Source organism: Homo sapiens, chromosome 8 (genome assembly GCF_000001405.40).
Source record: "Homo sapiens chromosome 8, GRCh38.p14 Primary Assembly".
Classification (NCBI taxonomy): Eukaryota; Metazoa; Chordata; class Mammalia; order Primates; family Hominidae; genus Homo; species Homo sapiens.
Window position 1 is genome coordinate 115,966,955 of NC_000008.11, and position 19,859 is coordinate 115,986,813.

The 19,859-nt window shown below is 37.2% G+C and overlaps 1 long non-coding RNA gene across 1 annotated transcript in view, besides 1 other annotated feature; it reads right to left on the reverse strand.

Moving 5' to 3' along the window:
* LINC00536 (long intergenic non-protein coding RNA 536) overlaps nt 1-19,859 on the reverse strand; it is a 374,549-nt gene that overhangs the window by 16,444 nt on the left and 338,246 nt on the right. Inside the window, exons 8-10 of the long non-coding RNA NR_046215.1 lie at nt 10,289-10,482; nt 9,116-9,181; nt 2,730-2,823 (exon numbers count right to left, since the gene is read on the reverse strand). This is a non-coding gene — a long non-coding RNA (long intergenic non-protein coding RNA 536). The remainder of the gene's footprint in view (nt 1-2,729; nt 2,824-9,115; nt 9,182-10,288; nt 10,483-19,859) is intronic.
* Nucleotides 2,381-3,580: an enhancer, noted in NCBI's record as "P300/CBP strongly-dependent group 1 enhancer chr8:116981560-116982759 (GRCh37/hg19 assembly coordinates)". NCBI's record gives its function as "activates an origin of replication core promoter dependent on BRD2, BRD4, P300/CBP, MED14 and CDK7 cofactors, with strong dependence on P300/CBP, by STARR-seq in HCT116 cells {active_cell/tissue: HCT116}" and the evidence as "EXISTENCE:reporter gene assay evidence [ECO:0000049][PMID:35650434]".

Genomic DNA, 19,859 nt, shown 5'->3' on the forward strand with positions numbered 1-19,859 from the left:
CTGTAAAGAGATTCTGATTAAGAAATTCAGGACAAGCCACTGGAATCTTTTTACAAACCTGGCCCATTTCTAAATCTGCTGCCTGCCATCTATGGGGCCATAATTTGGAAAACACTGATTTAGTTTGCCCTCTCATAGAGATGAGGAAGTATATTTTGAGAAGTTAGGTGAATTACCTAAGTTCGCACAGCCAGTAAATGTCAGAGCTGGGCTCTGGATCAGTAAATATTGACAGGACTGCAGCTACTTCTTACTGTCAGGACCCACAACAAACTCTTCTCATGAGGAATAATATACTTTTACCTGCACTTAGCAGCCTTCTCAGCACAGCACTCAAAGTAGCCAGTACTGTTGAAGTGAGGTGTCACATAAGCTGAAACTTATTTGTTATTCCACGATAGAGCACTAGAGTTGTCACCCACCCATTTTTTGAAACCGATGATCTGGTATTTATATTTCTATCTGGTAAAAAGGAAAACAATGAAAATTGTATTGATATTTTTAAATTGTCTCGATTATGAATCATGGCCCTCTGAGAGTGGATTTCAATAGTTATGAAGCCTTGATGACTGGATGAAGAGACAATAGGGCTATTCTAAAATTAACAGAATGTATTTGTTCAGTGTTGTTCTATGGGGTGAAAGGAGGAACTTCTCTGTGGGAACAGAGGAGTTTTGAGGGGATCATTTCTGAGAATATTCAAGTTGGTGCACACAAAGATTAAGAACATCTCCTGGTCTTTGGGGCAATACTAGACTTTGGGTGATAAAATTGAAATCCTTTAGGCTAAGTTGTAAATAGTTATATAGAACCATGTCCTAAAGAAAATGGGTGGGTGTCTTTTTAGAGACTATTAACAGCCAGTTAGTCTCCACAGAAGGCATTAACAAAGTATCTATAATCTACATGAGATCATATGTCAGAATAATATATTCCCAAGAGTCTGGGATAGGCTGTCCCAAATGAGTAGAGGTGAATTTCAAGATCATGAAATGCATCTTGTGAAATACAACAGCTTTTAAAAAGAATTGAATATTCTAATGAAAAAGCCTTCATGATCTACCCAAGCCTCACAGCTGTTACTGATGGCAATCTGTCCTCAGGGCCATGGTTCTGCCATCAGTGAAAAATTATCTTTAAGACATCCTCCGATATTTCCTTCATTTTAAGGCAACCTGATCCTTCACATTAAAAATATATAAATAAGTACAACTACCCTCAAAACCCTACAAGTAAATAAACCAAATGCCTTTTCATCATGAATGTGCCCTAGACTATATGTTCATTAAGATTAGGAAGTGTCATGTTCACCATTTTCTTCAGAAATAACCTCAATCCTTGGTATATAGTAGGAGCTCAAACATTTGTTGAATGAATAAATATTTGTTGATTCAATAATTGGATCCCTTATAACTGAATTTTTAAAAAAAATGCAGTTATAACTCTTTTTGCCAACAGCTTCTGCTTTTCCTTCCACATGCCTACTTTGGTTTCCTAATATATTTTATGCTAATAATGACTTATTTATACATGCAGTGCCCAGTGCATGCAAAGGTACTAGAATGATTGCAGCCATTCCATTGGGCACTCATTATAAAGCATATTTGTCCTTTGGATAAAAGTAATTCCTTCAGATTACTGTTGGTCTCTTGCATATTTATTAACCTTAATAGGAAGGGAGTCCATGAGGGTGATAAGTAGTATGCTTAGGGAACTGTGGTCATTTCTAAACACTGAGCTTGATTTATCATTGACTACTAATACCTACCTGGCCTCAGCAGTCTCCTTGAAGAGCCTGACTTCACAACTGTCTGCATCTGTCTTATAGCAACTGATTTGTATTTGTGAGTCACTGATTTTGACCAGCTGCCAGGTCCAGTATGGCTAAAGTCATTTTATCCTTTGTTAGGGAGCCACAGGACTCTGGACCATATATTTGGCAGGTTTATTGGATGAAGGTTTAGGACAATATACCAGAGCAAATAAATGAGCACTTCATCCAATACTCAGGGAAAATGCACACACATACACTCACAGTCAAGAGTTGTAGAAAAATGCAGACAATGGGAGTTTAAAAGATGAAGACACCTTGGCCTAGAAATAGTGCCTGCTCCTGATATATGAAATGTAGGAAAAACATAAGCTTCATATTATAATAATCCTTCTAGAGCAAATTCTTTTAGACCTTGAAAACAATTATATAAGCATGTCTTTATTCCATTCATTTTCCCCTTGCTATTTCCTTCCCCCTTCTTTCCTTCCTTCCTTTCTTCTCCTTTCTTCTGAAAAATAAAACATATCTGTATTTATTTTCCTAAACATAAGTACTCATTACAGTGTGTTGGTGTCTGTGGTTTCTTTAATGGTGAATGCACTGTAAAATGCATTGCTGTAATTGTGTGTCCATCATTTGAAGACAAGTGTAGTATATAGTGTCACATGTGAAAATGGTCCAGCCTTTATTTATGACATTCATGGCAGGTCCATAGTTTACACCTTACCAACAGATTGTCTAAATGTTCAGACAGATTAAAGGGTTATGACTTTATCATACAGTTCAACCCACCTAAATTCCCTGGAACATGTTAACCAGTCAGTACTTAAACTTTCCAATATCGTTAACATACTTAGGGTTAATGTGGGAAGAGGTATGGATCTTGGCTGCAGGGCTCATGATAGAATGCAAAAATGGGGTAAGAGATCAAGCATCTATGGTCCTATTCATTTACCTGAAGTCCTGATGTCAACAGAGTCCTGGTGCCAATGCCTATTTCCTCATTGTTACTCCATGAGTCAACATACATTTCCCATTACTTCATAAATCTTAAAGAGAGAGAGGGAATGTTTTGAAGTTCAAAGGCTTCTTTTCCTTGGTCTGTGGCTTTATGGACAATCAATAAATAAAATCATCTATTCATTTATCAAGCATTTACTAAGCTCTTGTTGTGTTCCAAGAACTGTCCTAGGCCCTTGAGTGACATCAGAAAGTAAAATAGACAAACACACCTGCTCTGTGGGACTTGCACATTTTTACAAATCAGTATGGCCAGGGATATAAGACATCAGTGATAACTGCTTTTCCAGGTTAATAGATCCTGTTATTTCATGGTTCTGTTTTTACACAATGACCAGTAGATGTGATTAATAAAGGATAAAGTCTTCAAAATTATTATTGAAAATATCTTTTCAACTACTCATGATAATACTTAAACCCATACTCATCTTGGGAAATCCCATTTTGAGGTATCAATCTGTTTTCATTTTTCAGGGTCCCTTAGTCTGATGTAAATAACTCTGGGAGGAATAGGTTCTTCAGATCACAATCAGATAATTCTCATTAATGCTGAGAGGTAAGCAGGCTGAAAGCAAGAAGAGCTGGGCGTACAAAGAGGAAGGGCTTCCAGAAGAAAAAAAAGGCAGTCACTGCAGCCTCAGGAAGGGATCCAGCGGCCAGCTTGCATTCTTCTCAAGTTTCATCTAGAGCCAGACTAGATTTGCAGTACTCATTTTCAACTAGTACTTCAGTACTATTGACAATGAAGATTTATTTTAAAAAGCATGTTCTGAGCCAGGAGAGTTGGCTCACACCTGTAATCCCAGCACTTTGGGAGGCTGAGGCAGGTGGATCACTTGAGGTCAGGAGTTCGAGACCTGTCTGGCCAACGTGGTGACACACTGTCTCTACTAAAATACAAAAATTAGCCAAGCATGGTGGTATATGCCTGTAATCCCAGCTACTCAGGAGGCTGAAGTGAGAGGATCACTTGAATCAGGGAGGCAGAAGTTTCAGTGAGCCAAGATCTCACCACTACACTCCAGCCGGGGCGACAGGCTCAAAAAAAAAAAAAAAAAAAAAAGGGTGTTCTATAGACACTGTCAAGGAGATCTCTCTTTTTCATCCTTCTGATTTTTCTTTTATACCACTAAGTTGTCATATGTGTTGTGCTTACATGGAGAGGGCAATAAGGATTCATGTGCATATGTGAGCCATTGAGAAGAGGTGATAATAATTTTGTTTACAAAATTTGAATTAAAAATGGAGATATATACAAAACAGAATAAGGCATGTGAACATTGCATGCAAATCCCACATAGGCATTTGTAGCTTAGTAACCTTTCTTCATGCATGACTCCATCACTGAAGTCACTGAGGACATCATAACAGGAACTAGGAACCACGTTTGAAAAACTCTTTGACTCTGCAGCTTTGACTTTGCTGTTTAAAATTTCATTACTGAGAAGTTCATCAAAAATATGTTTTTTAAAAAGGAGGCCTAATGTAATCAACAGAAATGCATTAATTTTTACTTTTTATTTTCCCCCTTTTTTTTTTGCCCATTTCATTTTTTTTTTTTTTTTTTTTTTTTTTTGACGGAGTCTTGCTCTGTCTCCTAGGCTGGAGTGCAGTGGCACGATCTCGGCTCACTGCAACCACCGCCTCCCGGGTTCAACCAGTTCTCCTGCCTCAGCCTCCTGAGTAACTGGGATTACAAGTGCGCGTCACCACGCCCGGCTAATTTTTGGATTTTTAGTAGAGACTGGGTTTCACCATGTTGGCCAGGCTGGTCTCGAACTCCTGACCTCGTGATCCGCCTGCCTCGGCCTCCCAAAGTGCTGGGATTACAGGCGTGAGTCGCCGTGCCCGGCCTTTTTGCCCATTTCTGGAACTGAAAAGTTCTTCAGTGTATTCTCTGCTTAAATGTTACAAATAAGTTTATAAGTATAGTCAAATAATCCTAATGGCATGTTTTTTAAAAACTAAATTAAAAACAAAGAGCAAATCATCCTAATTTCTTTTGTCTTTTAAGTTGACCCCAGCTTTGAAGATTAGCATGTTTCAGGAGGAGATGGGAGTGAAAGGATGTCTTAACAATTCATCTTTGGAGGTTGAATTTGGAATGTGATTACGAATCAGAATGTGTCTGTCTTGCACACATCATCTAAGGCTGTATGTTGCCATCAGCAATGAACATGCCTTTAACCTGTTACTGATTTGTGACCATTCTGACTTGAACTTAGCTCTTTTTCTTTTTGTTCACCTCTACTCCATTATTTTTAGAGATTAAAAAAGAGCTAAATTAGTTTCATTTTGAAAATTTAGTGATAGCCTAGAAGTATAATATAGTAATTTCCTATTTCCTTTGATGGATGTTTGGTTTGTATAAGAATTTTGTCTATATTCTTTTCTACTTTCTCCCACCCCAAATGGACAACTCATAGCTGTATGTTTCATAAGAAAGAAAAAGTAGTTATCTCAAGTCACTTATGGATTTGTGAATCAAGGTTTATTTCAAGTAATTTGGATTATTCCTGTGAATTAGTGATTATATAAAACTGGTATAAAGGACAATTGACTCCCATTATCAAAGTACCTGAGAAAATAAATTCTCAAAGTGAAATTTGCTTGGACACCATCAAATCAAAGGGAATTGGCTGGGCTTAAGAAATTTGTAATGCAAGAAAAGAAAAAGTCCGATTATTTTTCTCTGTTGAGAATCGTTATTAATCACAATATTTTCCAGATTTAATGTCTCTTTATGACGTATTCATTCATATGCCTCTGATTGGAAGTAACTAAAAATACTAAATGTTGAACAATAAGAACATAATAGTACAGATAACTGGAAGGAATTAAATAGAACAGTTAAAGGAGAGATGCAATCCCAGGCTTCCCACAATCAAATGGAACCCAGGTTCTTTTCTTGCCATCATCTTTAGCCTGTGCCACTACACTGAGTTGTTGGTACTACATGTGAATCATTACAATGCCAGTGCTGTAGAATAACTGGAAGAAAAAATGGATTCAGGTAGACCTGACTCCAGCACTTTCTAGCTGTTTCACTCCTAAGCCAGTTCCTTAATAACTTATAGCCTCAGGTTTATCATCTGTAAATTGATGATGTTTCCACTGAGGGGGCATCAAAATAATTAGAAAGAATTGATGTACAATGCCTGAATTATAATAAATATTCACTAAATATAGGCACACCTTGGAGATATTGTGGGGTTGGTTCCAGGCCACCACAATAAAGTGAATATCCCATTAAAGCAAATTACATGAATATTTTGGTTTCCCAGGTCATATAAAAGTTATATTTACACTACACTGTAGTCTACTAAGTGTGTAATAATAGCATTATGTTTGAAAAACACTGTATATACCTTAATTAAAAATATTGCTGAAAAGTGCTGATAATCATATAGGCCTTCACTGAGTGATAAATGTTTTGCTTGATAGAGGGTCTTGCCTCTGATGTTGATAGCTGATGACTAATCAAGGTTGTCGTTACTGAAAATTGGAGTGTTGTCAAAATTTCTTAAAACAACAATGGAATTTGCCACATGGATTTTTCCTTTCGTGAAAGGGATCTATGTAACCTATGATGCTGTTTGATAGCATTTTACCCACAGTAGAACTTCTTTCAAAATTGGAATCGGTCCCCTCAACCCCTGCCACTGCTTTATCAATCAAGTTGATATAATAGTCCAAATCCTTTCAACAATATTGATAGCATCTTCACCAGGAGTAGATTCCATCTCAAGAAACCAAGAAACCACTTTCTTTGCTCCTCCATAAGAAGACTCCCCATTCATCCAAGTTTGATCATGAGATTACAGCAATTTAGCCACATCTTGAAAAAGCTCCACTTCTAATTCTAGTTCTTTTGCTATTTCTGCCACATCTGCAGTTGTTTCACTAAAGTCTTAAACCCCTCAAAGTCATCCATGAGAGCTGGAATCAACTTCTTCAAAACTCCTAATAATATTTCTATTTTTGACCTCTTCCCATGAATCACAAATATTCACAATGTCATCTAGAATGGTGAATCCTTTCCAAAAGGTTTTTGATTTACTTTGCTCAGATCCAATAGAGGAATCACAGCTATAGCCTTACAAAATGTTTATCTTAAATAATAAGGCTTGAGAGTCAAAATTACTCCTTGATTCATGTAGAATGGATGTTGTGTTAGCAGGCATGAACACAACATTAGTCACCTTGTACAGCTCCATCCGAGCTCTTGGGTGACTAGATGCATTGTCAAGGAGCAATGGTAATACTTTGAAAGGGATTTTTTTTTTCTGGCAGTAGGTCTCAACAGTAGGCTTAAAATATTCAGTGAAATATGGTGTAAACAGATGTGCTGTCATCCAGGCTTTTGGTTTTGTTTATAGAGCACAGGCAGAGTAGACTTAACATAATTTTTAAGAGACCTAAGAGTTTCAGAATGGTAAATGAACACTGGCTTCCACTTAAATTCGCCAGGTGCATTAGCCCCTAACAAAAGCATCAGCCTGTCCTTTGAAGCTTTGAAGCCAAGCATTAACTTCTTCTGCCTAGGTTGGAAAATCCTAGATGGCATCTTCTTCCTCTATGAGGCTGTTTCATCTGCATTCAAACTCTATTGTTTAGTGTAGCCACCCTCATCAATGACCTTAGCTAGATCTTCTAGATAACTTGCTGCAGCTTCTCCATCAGAATTTGCTGCTTCACCTTGCATAATTATGTTATGGAGATGGCTCCCTTTCTTAATTAACCAACCTCTACTAGCTTAAAACTTTTCTCCTGCAGTTTCCTCACCTCTCTCAGCCTTCGCAGAATTGAAGAGTTATGGCCTGGTTCTGGATTAGGTTTTGGCTTAAGGGAATGTAGCCAGTTTGATATTCTATCCAGACCACTAAAACTTTCTCCATATCAACAATAAGGCTGTTTCACTTTCTTATCATTTGTGGGTTCACTGGAGTAGTACATTTAATTTTCCATGAGAAGTTTCTTTTTGCATTCACAACCTGGCTAACGGTTAGTGCAAGAGGCCTAGCATTCAGCCTGTCTTAGCTTTCAACATGCCCTCCTCATTAAGCTTAATCATTTCTAGCCTTTGATTTAAAGTGAGAGACATGTGACTCTTCCTTTCACTTGAACACTCAGAGGTTATTTGGCCTAATGTCAGTATGTTTTTGTCCCAGAGAATAGAGGGGCCTGAGAAGAAGGAGAGAGATGGAGGAATGGCTGGTCATTGGAGCAGTCAGAACACACACAATATTTATTAAGTTCACCATCTTATATTGGTGTGGTTGTGGCATCCCAAAACAATTGCAATAGTAACATCAAGGGTCACTGATTATAAATCACCGTAACAGATACACTAGTGGTGAAAAGGTTAAAATATTATGAGCATTACCAAAATGTGACACAAAGACACAAAGTGAGCGCGTGCTGTTGGAAAAATGGTGCCATTAGACTTGTTCGACATAGGGTTATTACAAATCTTCAGTTAGGAAAAAACTCAACATCTGCAAAGTGCAATAAAGATATGCACAATAAAATGAAGTATCCCTGTAGTCAATGTTATTTTTGCTATTAGTTTAAGAAGTAAACTCATTATAGAAAGCAGATAATGAACTAACTTGGTCCCATTGGGCAACACATTAACAATCATGTCTCACAGCAAATCACTTTTGTAGGTTGTTAATCTTATTCATTTTGTGTTTTTTTGTCTTGTTTCAGAGCCTTTATTAGGATTTAGTTAAGGAAACAAAGCCTCTATAAAGGCCAGAAATGGCCTTTGATGTTACTATTGCAATTGTTTTGGGGTGTCGCAACCAGACCAATATAAGATGGTGAACTTAATGAATGGCCTTCTGTTTTGTGCTGTGATAACACAATACCACAAACAAAGTTCCCCTTTTTAAGATTTGCAGATTGCCCATGGGGAAATCCAGACCAGAAGTTTTCATTGTTCAGTCCATCTGGGTAATTTATAATAAACAGAAACTTATTGGCTCACAGCTCTGGAGGCTGGGAAGTTTAAGAATGAGGACCAGCGTCCTTTGAAGGCCATCTTGCTGTGACATTCCATGGTGGAAGTGCAAAAAGAAGGGAGAGAGAGAGAATCCTCTGCACTCCACAATAATGAACCCGCTCTATTCCACAATAATGGCATTAATTTATTACGTAGTTTATTCTGAGGCAGAGTTCTCATAGCCCTATCACCTCTTAAAAGTTCTACCTCTTAGTACAGTTACAATGGAAATTTAACTTCAACATGAGTTTGTTAGGGGACACATACTTAAACTATAGGCAGAGGCGTTAGAGAACAGAGAAATACTCACTAACCACTTTATCAGAAGCACTGTTTGAAGCTGGCAGAGAAATCCAAGAAACCATACACTGAAATGGGACCTGCATGAAGAGAAAAATAGCAAGAATTATGGAAACTGCAATCTCTGGAGAAGCAGTTTTTGCTATATAACCACAGCCTTCTGGGGTCTTATCTCATGACATCAGCTAAGGCACTATGTGCCAGCAGAATCATCAGCCAGGAAAATGAGCTAGATCAAGACAGTGATGACAAGTTGGAACCTCTAAAAACTCCCCTCTAGTTGCTCATCACCAGGTCCGATCACACAGTCTTCTGAGAGTAATGGCTTCTGCTTCACTCCCATCTTCCAAATTTCTCAGAGGCTCCACTTTTAGCCAACTGTATGTCAAAACCATATAGAGAAGGGGAATGTGGTATAATCCTACCATCGATTATCTAGTTAAAACATAGTAGCTTTAATTGCAGGAGGAGGGTGGGACAAGTGTTTCTTTTTTTTTTTCATTTTATCATACTTAATTACATTTTTTTCTCTGCTCCCAGCACAGTTTGAAAAATAGTACGTAAATCACTGCTGAGTCTACCTTTTAAGAATGTAAATCATTTTTCCTTAGCTTTAAAATAATTTAAGTGTAAACTAAGTTGAAATATACATTAAAAATAGATAATGATGTGCAAACTAGACTTTCTTCATGACTCCTGCATTTTAGCAACTCAACTGATGGTGTAGAGGAAATCTAATTCTGTTCATAAGGAGATTTGAGCCCCTGTCCTATTTGTTCCATACTTGGCATGTGAGTTGGTAGACCACGGTTTTCTCTTCATCAATAGTCCACAAGCTTTTTTGATAAAGAGATAATATCTAAAAAATTATTATTCTTCCATATGAATACAGTGATACTCTTTACAATCATTAATTGAGAGATTTGATAATCACTAAAACCTAATATGAGTTGAGTATTCTGTTTGATTAATTTATTTTGCATTGATTTCAAAAGTATCTTCATGCCTTTGAGGGTCAAAAAAAGAGTACATTAAAATATGCAAAAAAAGTTCTTATTTAGCATGCAGTCTAAATGGAAATAGGAAGTCGAAGTTCTCTTTTTTAAGATTCATAGATTGCCCCTGCGGGACCCCAAACTAGAAGTTTTCATTGTTCAGTCCATCCGCAGGAGTCAGAAATGTCTCACCTGGTGGGAGACCACATCTCTGTGTCTGAGAAATCCATTTCATTGCCACCTCTCACAACAGCTGCCATCACTCCAGATTTTCTGTGGCTCATTTCCGTTCATGTTCTTGGATGCAGAATGCATCCTGGCAAATCCTGCTTTCTTCCTTCCATCAAAAACACAGGGGGAAAACATCTTCTGATTCTTCAATGTGCCTATATCAAAAAAGATCAGATTTTCAGCATACCCTGAGAGGTAAAATAGAGTGCCAGAGATACAGAGAGAAGAGGATGAGGCCTGGGACTTGGAAACACACAACTTCTATTTTAGGTCATTTAGAAAGATTTTTTGATTATAAGAGTTGATGGTGGACAGATGTGTCTTTCTACTTCTGAGCTTTTAAAAGAACATTTAAATATCTGGTGAGAGTTCAGGAAATCCACATCTATCATTATGCAAGCAGGGATTTAAGAAAAATATTTTTTCCTTTTTCTCAAGGGTAAAGGAATGGATGAATGAGAAAGCATTTATTAAGTGCTTTGGAGTAAAGGTGCTGCACACAATACACACACTTCATCAGGCATTAAAATGCAACACTGCAACTTAAAAAAAAAAAAAGTAACCTACAATTGCCCATTCAGGACCACACTAGCTTAACTAAGACAATGAATGATGCATTTCCCCTGATGCATCTTTAGGAGCATATGAGTAGTTTCAACTGAAAGATTGGTTTTTGCTTTGGCTAAATTTTTCTCCCCACAGTTAGCTTGTATATTTTTCTCCTCTTTACAAATCCAGAAGGGTATATTGGGGGATTTTGTGCACAAGCAATTATTTTAGCACTGAATTCTCAAAACTCTGGTCACACAAAACCTGTGATAGAAAGTCCCAGGTTCCCATCCCAAATGTTCCAGTTTTTAGCCACATGAGTTTGGATTTCATCTCTGAGCCTTAGTGCTTCTGTTGTCAAATCCCCTATTCTGTCTCCCTTATAAGTGCACTGTGACAACTAGTCTCGTAAGGTGATGGATATAACAGTGCTCTAAGAGCTGCGAAAAGCTGTACAAAGTAAGATACTGTATATTATTATTTGTATTGCTTGTCTCTTACTGAGCAGTCCAGGGAACCAGCAATGTTCCAAGAGATTAAGATCTCAACTTTGCATCTCAATGAAAAACAGCACTTCCAGGACACAAGGCTCTCCTAACATCTCTCCTTGGGGGGAAATGCCTTCTGCTTAATCATCAACATCACCACTTCCTCCACTGAGAGCTATATCTGATGATGAATCACCTTAGAAATGATCTAGCCTCACCCCTTGCTAGGCTGAGGAAATCTGAACTTGTCACAGCATTTGTCTTCAGGGGAGAAAAAAACAAAAACTGAGATACACAGGAAAGTTAGCTTTGTCCAATATAGATTTGCATACTTTATCTTCCATTTTTCTCTATTCAAAGTTGCTCACCCTAGTCTTTTTCATGCCTCCTCTTTCTTTCTATGTAGTAATAAATAACTTTCATTTACTCATTTGTTCATTCATCCCACAGACATTTGCTGGGGACCAGCTATGTAGTTAGCACTGAGTTAGGCACTGGGAATACAATGGTGCACCCGATGGACATGATTTCTTTCCTCACAAATATCATAATCTTGAGTCAGGCGTACACAGATATAAGAAAAAAAGAGGCAGGAATTGCCCTAGAATATGCACACTTGGACCTAAGAAGAGAATATTTGAAAAAAATTTAATACTCTACAATTAATCTCCATTCACTCTACTACTAGGTTGAGAGCTTCTAATCCAGTTTTAGAGGATTGACGTAGGCTTTGTAAAGGTAGTAAGATCTAAATTGAGTCAGGAAAGGAATATTAGGATTTAGTTCAGAGACTCCACCCCTATTTTCCTTATATTATCATATATTTGACCTCTTCTCTTTTTGAATGTGCTTCCTTTTCCCTCCTCTTTATCCCTGTAGAATAAATAGTACTTTCTCCTAGGCGAATCCACCACTTTTTTTTTTTTTTTTTTTTGAGACTGAGTCTCGCTCTGTCGCCCAGGCTGGAGTGCAGTGGCGCCATCTCGGCTCACGGCAAACTCCACCTCCCGGGTTCACGCCATTCTCCTGCCTCAGCCTCCCTAGTAGCTGGGACTACAGGCGCCCGCCACCGCGCCCGGCTAATTTTTTTGTATTTTTAGTAGAGACGGGGTTTCACCGTGTTAGCCAGGATGGTCTCGATCTCCTGACCTTGTGATCCACCCGCCTCCGCCTGAATCCACCACTTTTATTTGGCCATAAACAACTGGTATTGCAAGACACCACGATATTGATAATTTTGAGAGGTTTTTTTTTTTTTTTTTTTTTTTTTTTTTTTTTTAGTACCCATTGGTTGTAAGCCTCAATTGAAACGGTTTGGTCGTGTCTGAATTATTTAAGGAGAAAATTGATAATGTTGCAAAGAGAAATAATTAAGGAAATTTTACAATATGTTACTGTCATACCCTTCTGTTGTTTCTTCCATCTCAATAAAACATTTCTGAATAACCTTTCTTAGGACCCTCCTGGCCAGTGCATTTCCAGCTGTACCCTCACAATTGACTCTCAAGAGGTATTTTGGAGTGTTCCAAAAATGTTAGTTTGAACTTCATTAAGAATATTTTAACTGTCTTAAGACATACATTAAAAATAAAACATATATTTTAACATATTGATGATATGTACTGCCACACCAATTGTTGGTGCAGCCAGATAAACTTAGCTTTGTGAAAACCTCACAGGAATGTTTCTTCTGCTAGACTGCAAGCTATTTAAAAGCTTTTGCCATTTACAACAGCTTACAATTCGAATTTTCTCAATTGTGTAGAAACAAAATGTATAGATACATTAAATGCTGAAGCTTGTCATCTGTGACATTCATTTTCTAAAATTTTACTTATTATTTTAAATGACTTTGTGGTACCTAATTGTTATAAATGTGAAGATCCAAGATAGAAAACATTGTTTTATACACCGGAGTTCTGTCATAAGATTTTTGCTTTGGAAAAAAGATCCCTTTGCTAAATATGTTTAACAACTGTTGATTTAAGCTCTTGTCTTGCTTTATTCCTCATGCACAATTATGATAACTTAGCAGAATTGGAAGCTTCATCTTATAAAAACAATTCAAGTAAGAATGAGCTGCTGTGATGGTAGTAGTACCAAAACAGATATATAGAGCAAGGGCACAGAACAGAGGCCTCAGAAATAGCGCCACACATCTACAACCATCTGATCTTTGACAAACCTGACAAAAACAAGCAATGGGGAAAGGATTCCCTGTTTAATCAATGGTGTTGGGAAAACTGGCTAGCCATATGCAGAAAACTGAAACTGGATCCCTTCCTTACACTTTATACAAAAACTAATTCAAGATGGATTAAATACTTAAATGTAAGACCTAAAACCATAAAAAGCCTTGAAGAAAACCTAGGCAATACCATTCAGGACATAGGCATGGGCAAAGACTTTATGACTAAAACACCAAAAGCAATGGCAACAAAAGTCAAAATTGACAAATGGAATCTAATTAAACTAAAGAGGTTCTGCACAGAAAAAAAAAAGCTATCATCAGAGTGAACAGGCAACCTACAGAATGGGAGAACATTTTTGCAATCTAGCCATCTGATAAAGGGCTAATATCCAGAATCTACAAAGAACTTAAACAAATTTACAAGAAACAAATAAACAACCCCATCAAAAAGTGGGTGAAGGATATGAACAGACACTTCTGAAAAGAAGACATTTATGTGACCAACAAACATATGAAAAAAAGCTCATCATCACTGGTTATTAGAGAAATGCAAATCAAAACCACAATGAGATACCATCTCATGCCAGCTAGAACGGATATCATTAAAAAGTCAGAAAAAAACAGATGCTGGAGAGGATGTGGAGAAATAGGAACGCTTTTAGACTGTTGGTGAGAGTGTAAATTAGTTCAACCATTGTGGAAGACAGTGTGGCGATTCCTTAAGGATCTAGAACCAGAAATACCATTTGACCCAGCAATCCCATTACTGGGTACATACCCAAAGGATTATAAATCATTCTACTGTAAAGACACATGCACATGTATGTTTATTGCAGCACTGTTCACAATAGCAAAGACTTGGAACCAACCCAAATACCCATCAATGATAGACTGGATAAAGAAAAGGTGGCACATATATACCACGGCATACTATGCAGTCATAAAAAAGGATGAGTTCATGTCCTTTGCAGCAACATGGATGAAGTCGGAAACCATCATTCTCAGCAAGCTAACACAGGAACAGAAAAACAAACACCATATGTTCTCACTCATAAGTGGGAGTTGAACAATGAGAACACATGGACACAGGAAGGGGAACATCACATACCAGGGCCTGTCGGGTGATGGGGGTGGGGGTGGGTAGTGGAGGGATAGCATTAGGAGAAATACATAATGTAGATGATGGGTTGATGGGTGCAGCAAACCACCATGACATGTGTATACCTATATAACAAACCTGCACATTCTGCACATGTATACCAGAACTTAGAGTATAATAAAAAAAAACAAGATAGGAGATGGAAAAAAAAAAAGAATGAGCTGCTGTGGTGAATCACATAGAGTGATTTTATTTCCCAATGCTCCTCACAGAAGCAGCAATATTTTTGTTTTTAAGAGTGATTGATGTCTGCTGCTGTCTGGTCTTTCCTCTCTACTTCAAAATTATATATATACATATATAAAATTATATCTATAAGGTATCTATGTATTTATGGAGGTATATGTACACATATGTTCATATGAGTGTATATATATACATACATATATACTTGTGTGTATATATGTATATACATCTACACATATATACAACCACGTATATATGTGGAGATGTGTATGTATATACATATGTATGTATATATGATTACACATGTGTACACACAATTACATATATGTGTAATTATATATACATAGGGACATGTATATACAAACACATCTATACATGTGTAATTATATATATATACACACTATATACATTTATATATGTGTATATTTTTTGAGGGTCCTTGTGTTTTAAGGAAATGTACCAATAGTGTAATACTATCCTCACTCCTTCCAGGCTGACCTGTTCCAACTGGAACCCTATGTTTCACAATTTATAGAAAAATGATACCACCAAGCAATTGAGAGGGTCAACATTATCTCTGATAATAAAGTTTAAAGATGGTATGGGATAAAAAATTGTGTGTTTTGATGTAAAATCACAGAAGCTTGAGATTTTACCTTTAATGAGGGAAGAATGGAAAGGTAAAAGACGGACAGGGAACTGACTGATGTCACTAATAGTTGTAAGAGTTTGTAATCTTTTCTGCTGGCCAGAATACATATATGACAGCTTGAGCTCCAGCAGCTATCCTGGACTCCGAGTGGAACTTGGAGGTAGAATGTACATACTTAGAATGATAAAGCAAAAAGACTAAAAGGGCTTGGGCTCTTGCTGGCCGTGGGACTTCCCTCCTAACATTGGATTGCCTGCTTCTGGATTTACTATACATGAGGGAAAAAAATCAACTCTTAAGGGTTTAAGCCACTGCTATTTTGGGTTTTCTGTTTCATGCCACCAAATCCAAGAGTAATACCTTCCAGTGGTGGTATCTGCATTTCAACAGGCATTGAAAAGTTAACCAAAAAATGAAACTCTGTCCCCAAGTTTCAGGCAGAAACCAGCAGCAGGATTTTGAGATCTTAGATCTTCTTTGGGATTTTGAGATCCTTGTTGGGATGTATCCCTAATATCTACAAAAATAGAGCTGTATTTTGTAATTACCTTCTACCTGAGCAACTCTGCTATGTTAATCAATCTATAAAATAACATGAAAATGCTAAAAAAAAAATAGTTGTAAGAGTTTGTTACATCATAACACTGGCTGCATAATTAGTCAAGGTAACTGGTTGTTCTACACACAAAATTTGAATTTTTCCTTCTTTCTGCCTTGTCATGTCCACACTCTTTCATCTTTGTGTTTTAGTACTGTCTGGTATCCATGTCTGTCACTACAACCTGAGTTCACTTTTTTAGACATTAGTTCAACTTACTCTCATCTGAACCAAACCTATTCTGTGCTCAAATCTCTGAGTTGATGGGTTGATACCAATTTTGCCCTTTCAAAATAGGTAAATACTTTTTCTTCTTATAAGAAAGTTGCAATATTTCCATTTTAATTCAAAGGAATCACATGGGTTTTAGTTCTGACTTTCACTGTCATTGATTTAAATGTTAAAGTCATTGACTGTCACCTTAACTGATCAGAGGAGAGTTACTCTAAAGTGTAGGCAACTTTGGAGACAATTTGGGGATAGAGCCATTTTTCATAGTATATTTTAAAAGTACTTCTTGTTGTTTCTTTTTTTTTTTTTTTTTTGAGACGGAGTCTTGCTTTGTCACCCAGGCTGGAGTGCAGTGACTTGATCTCAGCTCACTGCAGCCTCTGCCTTTCAGATTCAAGCAATTCTCCCACCTAGGCCTCCCGAGTAGCTGGGATTACAGGCACCCATCACCACACCCCGCTAATTTTTTGTATTTTTAGTAGAGATGTTGTTTCGCCATGTTGGACAGGCTGGTCTTGAACTCCTGACCTCAGGTGATCTGCCCGCCTCAGCCTCCCAAAGTGCTGGGATTACAGATATGAGCCACCACACCTGGCTTTTGTTGTTGTTTCTTAACTCCCATATAGGTACAAGGTGAAAAAATTCTGCTCTATTGCATTACTATAGCTGGGATGTCTCCAATTATGTCCAATAAATGTACACAAATTTTGGTAGCAATGAATGTCAATATTTATTAACAGAGATAGCTATTATCAGAAAGGAAGTGGGAGTCAAACTTTACCTCAAAAAATTCTCTTCATATTCATCAATTATGAAGTGGCCATTGGAACATTTTGTGAATTGTCAGATTGTTGGGAAAACATATCAATGTATTTTTCATTCTATCCCTAAATGTCTTAATTTAAGTATCTATTTCCAAAACTGCTATTTAAGTATGGCTAGGAATTGGAGGTTCATAAAATGTCCTTCGCCCCTCAATACACCATGGTACAGAAGATATTATTGTTTGTTATCATACCGTCTCATCAGAACAAAACTTTTTTGCTCAGTTTGGCTGCAGGCAATAGACATGCAGATATAGTGCCATAATCTATGATCAAATCACTAACTCTGCTCCAGATTATAGTGTCATTGACTTTGGAGAAGGCTTTCCATTTTGTTATAAAACATTTCCAGCCATCTGAGGCAAGGACCTTTTCTACCTGATCAAAATGGAGGTTTTGATTAAATTAGTAAATTAGAAGAATTTACCTGGATATCTCCTGAGAGAAGTCCTGCAGTAAACAAAGATAATAACCTAATACAGCATTCAGACAAAACCATTTAATTATGTTCAAGTGCTATTTCTTCAACTTAATTCACAAGGAGTCTACTTTTCTGTCAAATACCTGTTAACATTCCAACAACTAGTCTTCCAAGGAACATACACACTTTCAAAAAACATTGGCATAGTGTTCATATAGCACACCCAGGCAACGATCATCCAAGGAATAATCCAAGCCAAACGATGAGGGAAGAAAAGGCTAAAACTTTTCGCTGTAGGGTAGTTGAATTCTCAATTCATAATACAGTAACAACAACAAAAAAAGATGTTGTAAGTAAAATCGTATATAAGTAAAAACTGAACATTCTTGGCATTTAAATAACCATAAACACACAATTTTTAAATTTTGTCTTTTGGAGGAGCCATGTTGAAGTAGCCTACCTGTATTATAACTTTTAATACAAATTCATTCTAATGATGATCCAATGGTTTGAAAATTTTTACTTCCCTCCTTCAAGAATGCTATACTTCTAATAAGCAGGACAAATCTGGAGAGATCCTGCATTATTATGTTCTATTGATTTATATTCCATTTTTTCTGGCAACATGAACATATTCAAATAATTGAAAGATTCAGGATTTACTTTAATTCACTTAGCACTTAAGACATTTCCCAGTTTTTGGAATGTGAGCACAATAACAGCAGTAGGCTTCTGCAACACTTTCAAATTCTTATGAACTGGGAAAAGAAGGCTGACTCTATGATCTAATTAAATAAAATGGACAACTGTTTTGCAATTCTGGCTTGAGATTTTGATGAATTATGAGGATGCATATATAAGTAAATTTTTTAAAAGTATTTAAGAATGAATGTAAAGTCTGCTTTCCTCCCATAATTTGTGCTTTACTCTAGATAGTCACTCTTGTAAATAAATGAAAATATTTTACATATTCCTAGGACATAGTAAGAACTCAATAAACATGAAATACTACTATTATTAATCATTATTATCAGACATTTACTGTACGTTTTTTGTTAAAAAAAAAAAAAACAAAAAACAAAAACCTGAGTGGCTATGTAAAACAATTGAATCTGTAACTTTTTCTTGAGATGGGGCCTTGCTCTATTGCCCAGGCTGGAGTACAGTGGCAAGATCATAGCTCAGTACAGCCTTGACCTCCTGGGCTTAAGGGATCCTCACGCCGCAGCCTCCAGAGTAGCTGGGACCACAGGCACATGCCACCACACCCAGCTAATTTGTTTTAATTTTTTGTAGAGACGGTGGTCTTGCTATGTTGCACTGGCTAGTCTCAAACTCCTGGGCTCAAGTGATCCCCCCACCCTGGCTTCCCAAAGTGTTGGGATTACAGGTATGAGCCACTGCACCCAGCATAATTTGTAACTTTTTGATCTGAATGTTAAACTTGTTGAACCCCAGAGCTCTCCTGTGGGCACCACATAATATTAATTGAATTAATTGTATTGATCACTGGACCTGTGCTTTGGGGAAGTAGCTGCCATTGGTCTCTTATGTGTTCTCTAGATCCTTCAGCCCTGTTGCCTGGAACCAACCTGTTGATGAATAAAACCTATTCTCTCTGAATGAAAAAGTTGTTCAAAACACCTGGAGTGGTCCATACCAATTACACATGACATGAGTCCTCTGCTCAAAGCTTCCTCTCATCACTCCACATGTGATTGCTTCGTGTCAATGAACTTTAGTGTACTTCAATTTCCTAGCAATCAATATTGATACAAAACAGTCTAACAATGTAATGACTGTTTGTTATGAAAGTCAATCAAAGGAGCAGAGATGTAGAATGTACTCCCTGAGTGACAAGTTATTCTGACAGGAGGATATTTCCATGTTTAACAATCCATCTCTGCCTCATTCAGGAAGTTGATCTCCCTGCCGAAGGTGTTGCTGAAATATTGAATGGAAAAATGTGCAAAGCGAAGACGGCTCCTCCCTATAGTAGGAAATACGGAAACACATGATCAGACATCTGTGAAGTGACTGAAATGTGTTTTCCTCCACTCTGTCTTATATAAACGTCCCCCTCTGAAACCATTTTATAAATAAGAATAAAATTGCTCTTAGATTCTTCTAGAATATTTGAACCTGACTTTTTTTGAAATAAGTCCCATGAAAGGAAATGGGAAAACAGCATTCCAATAGCAATATATGAGCCCTAAGAGGACAATTCAAATAT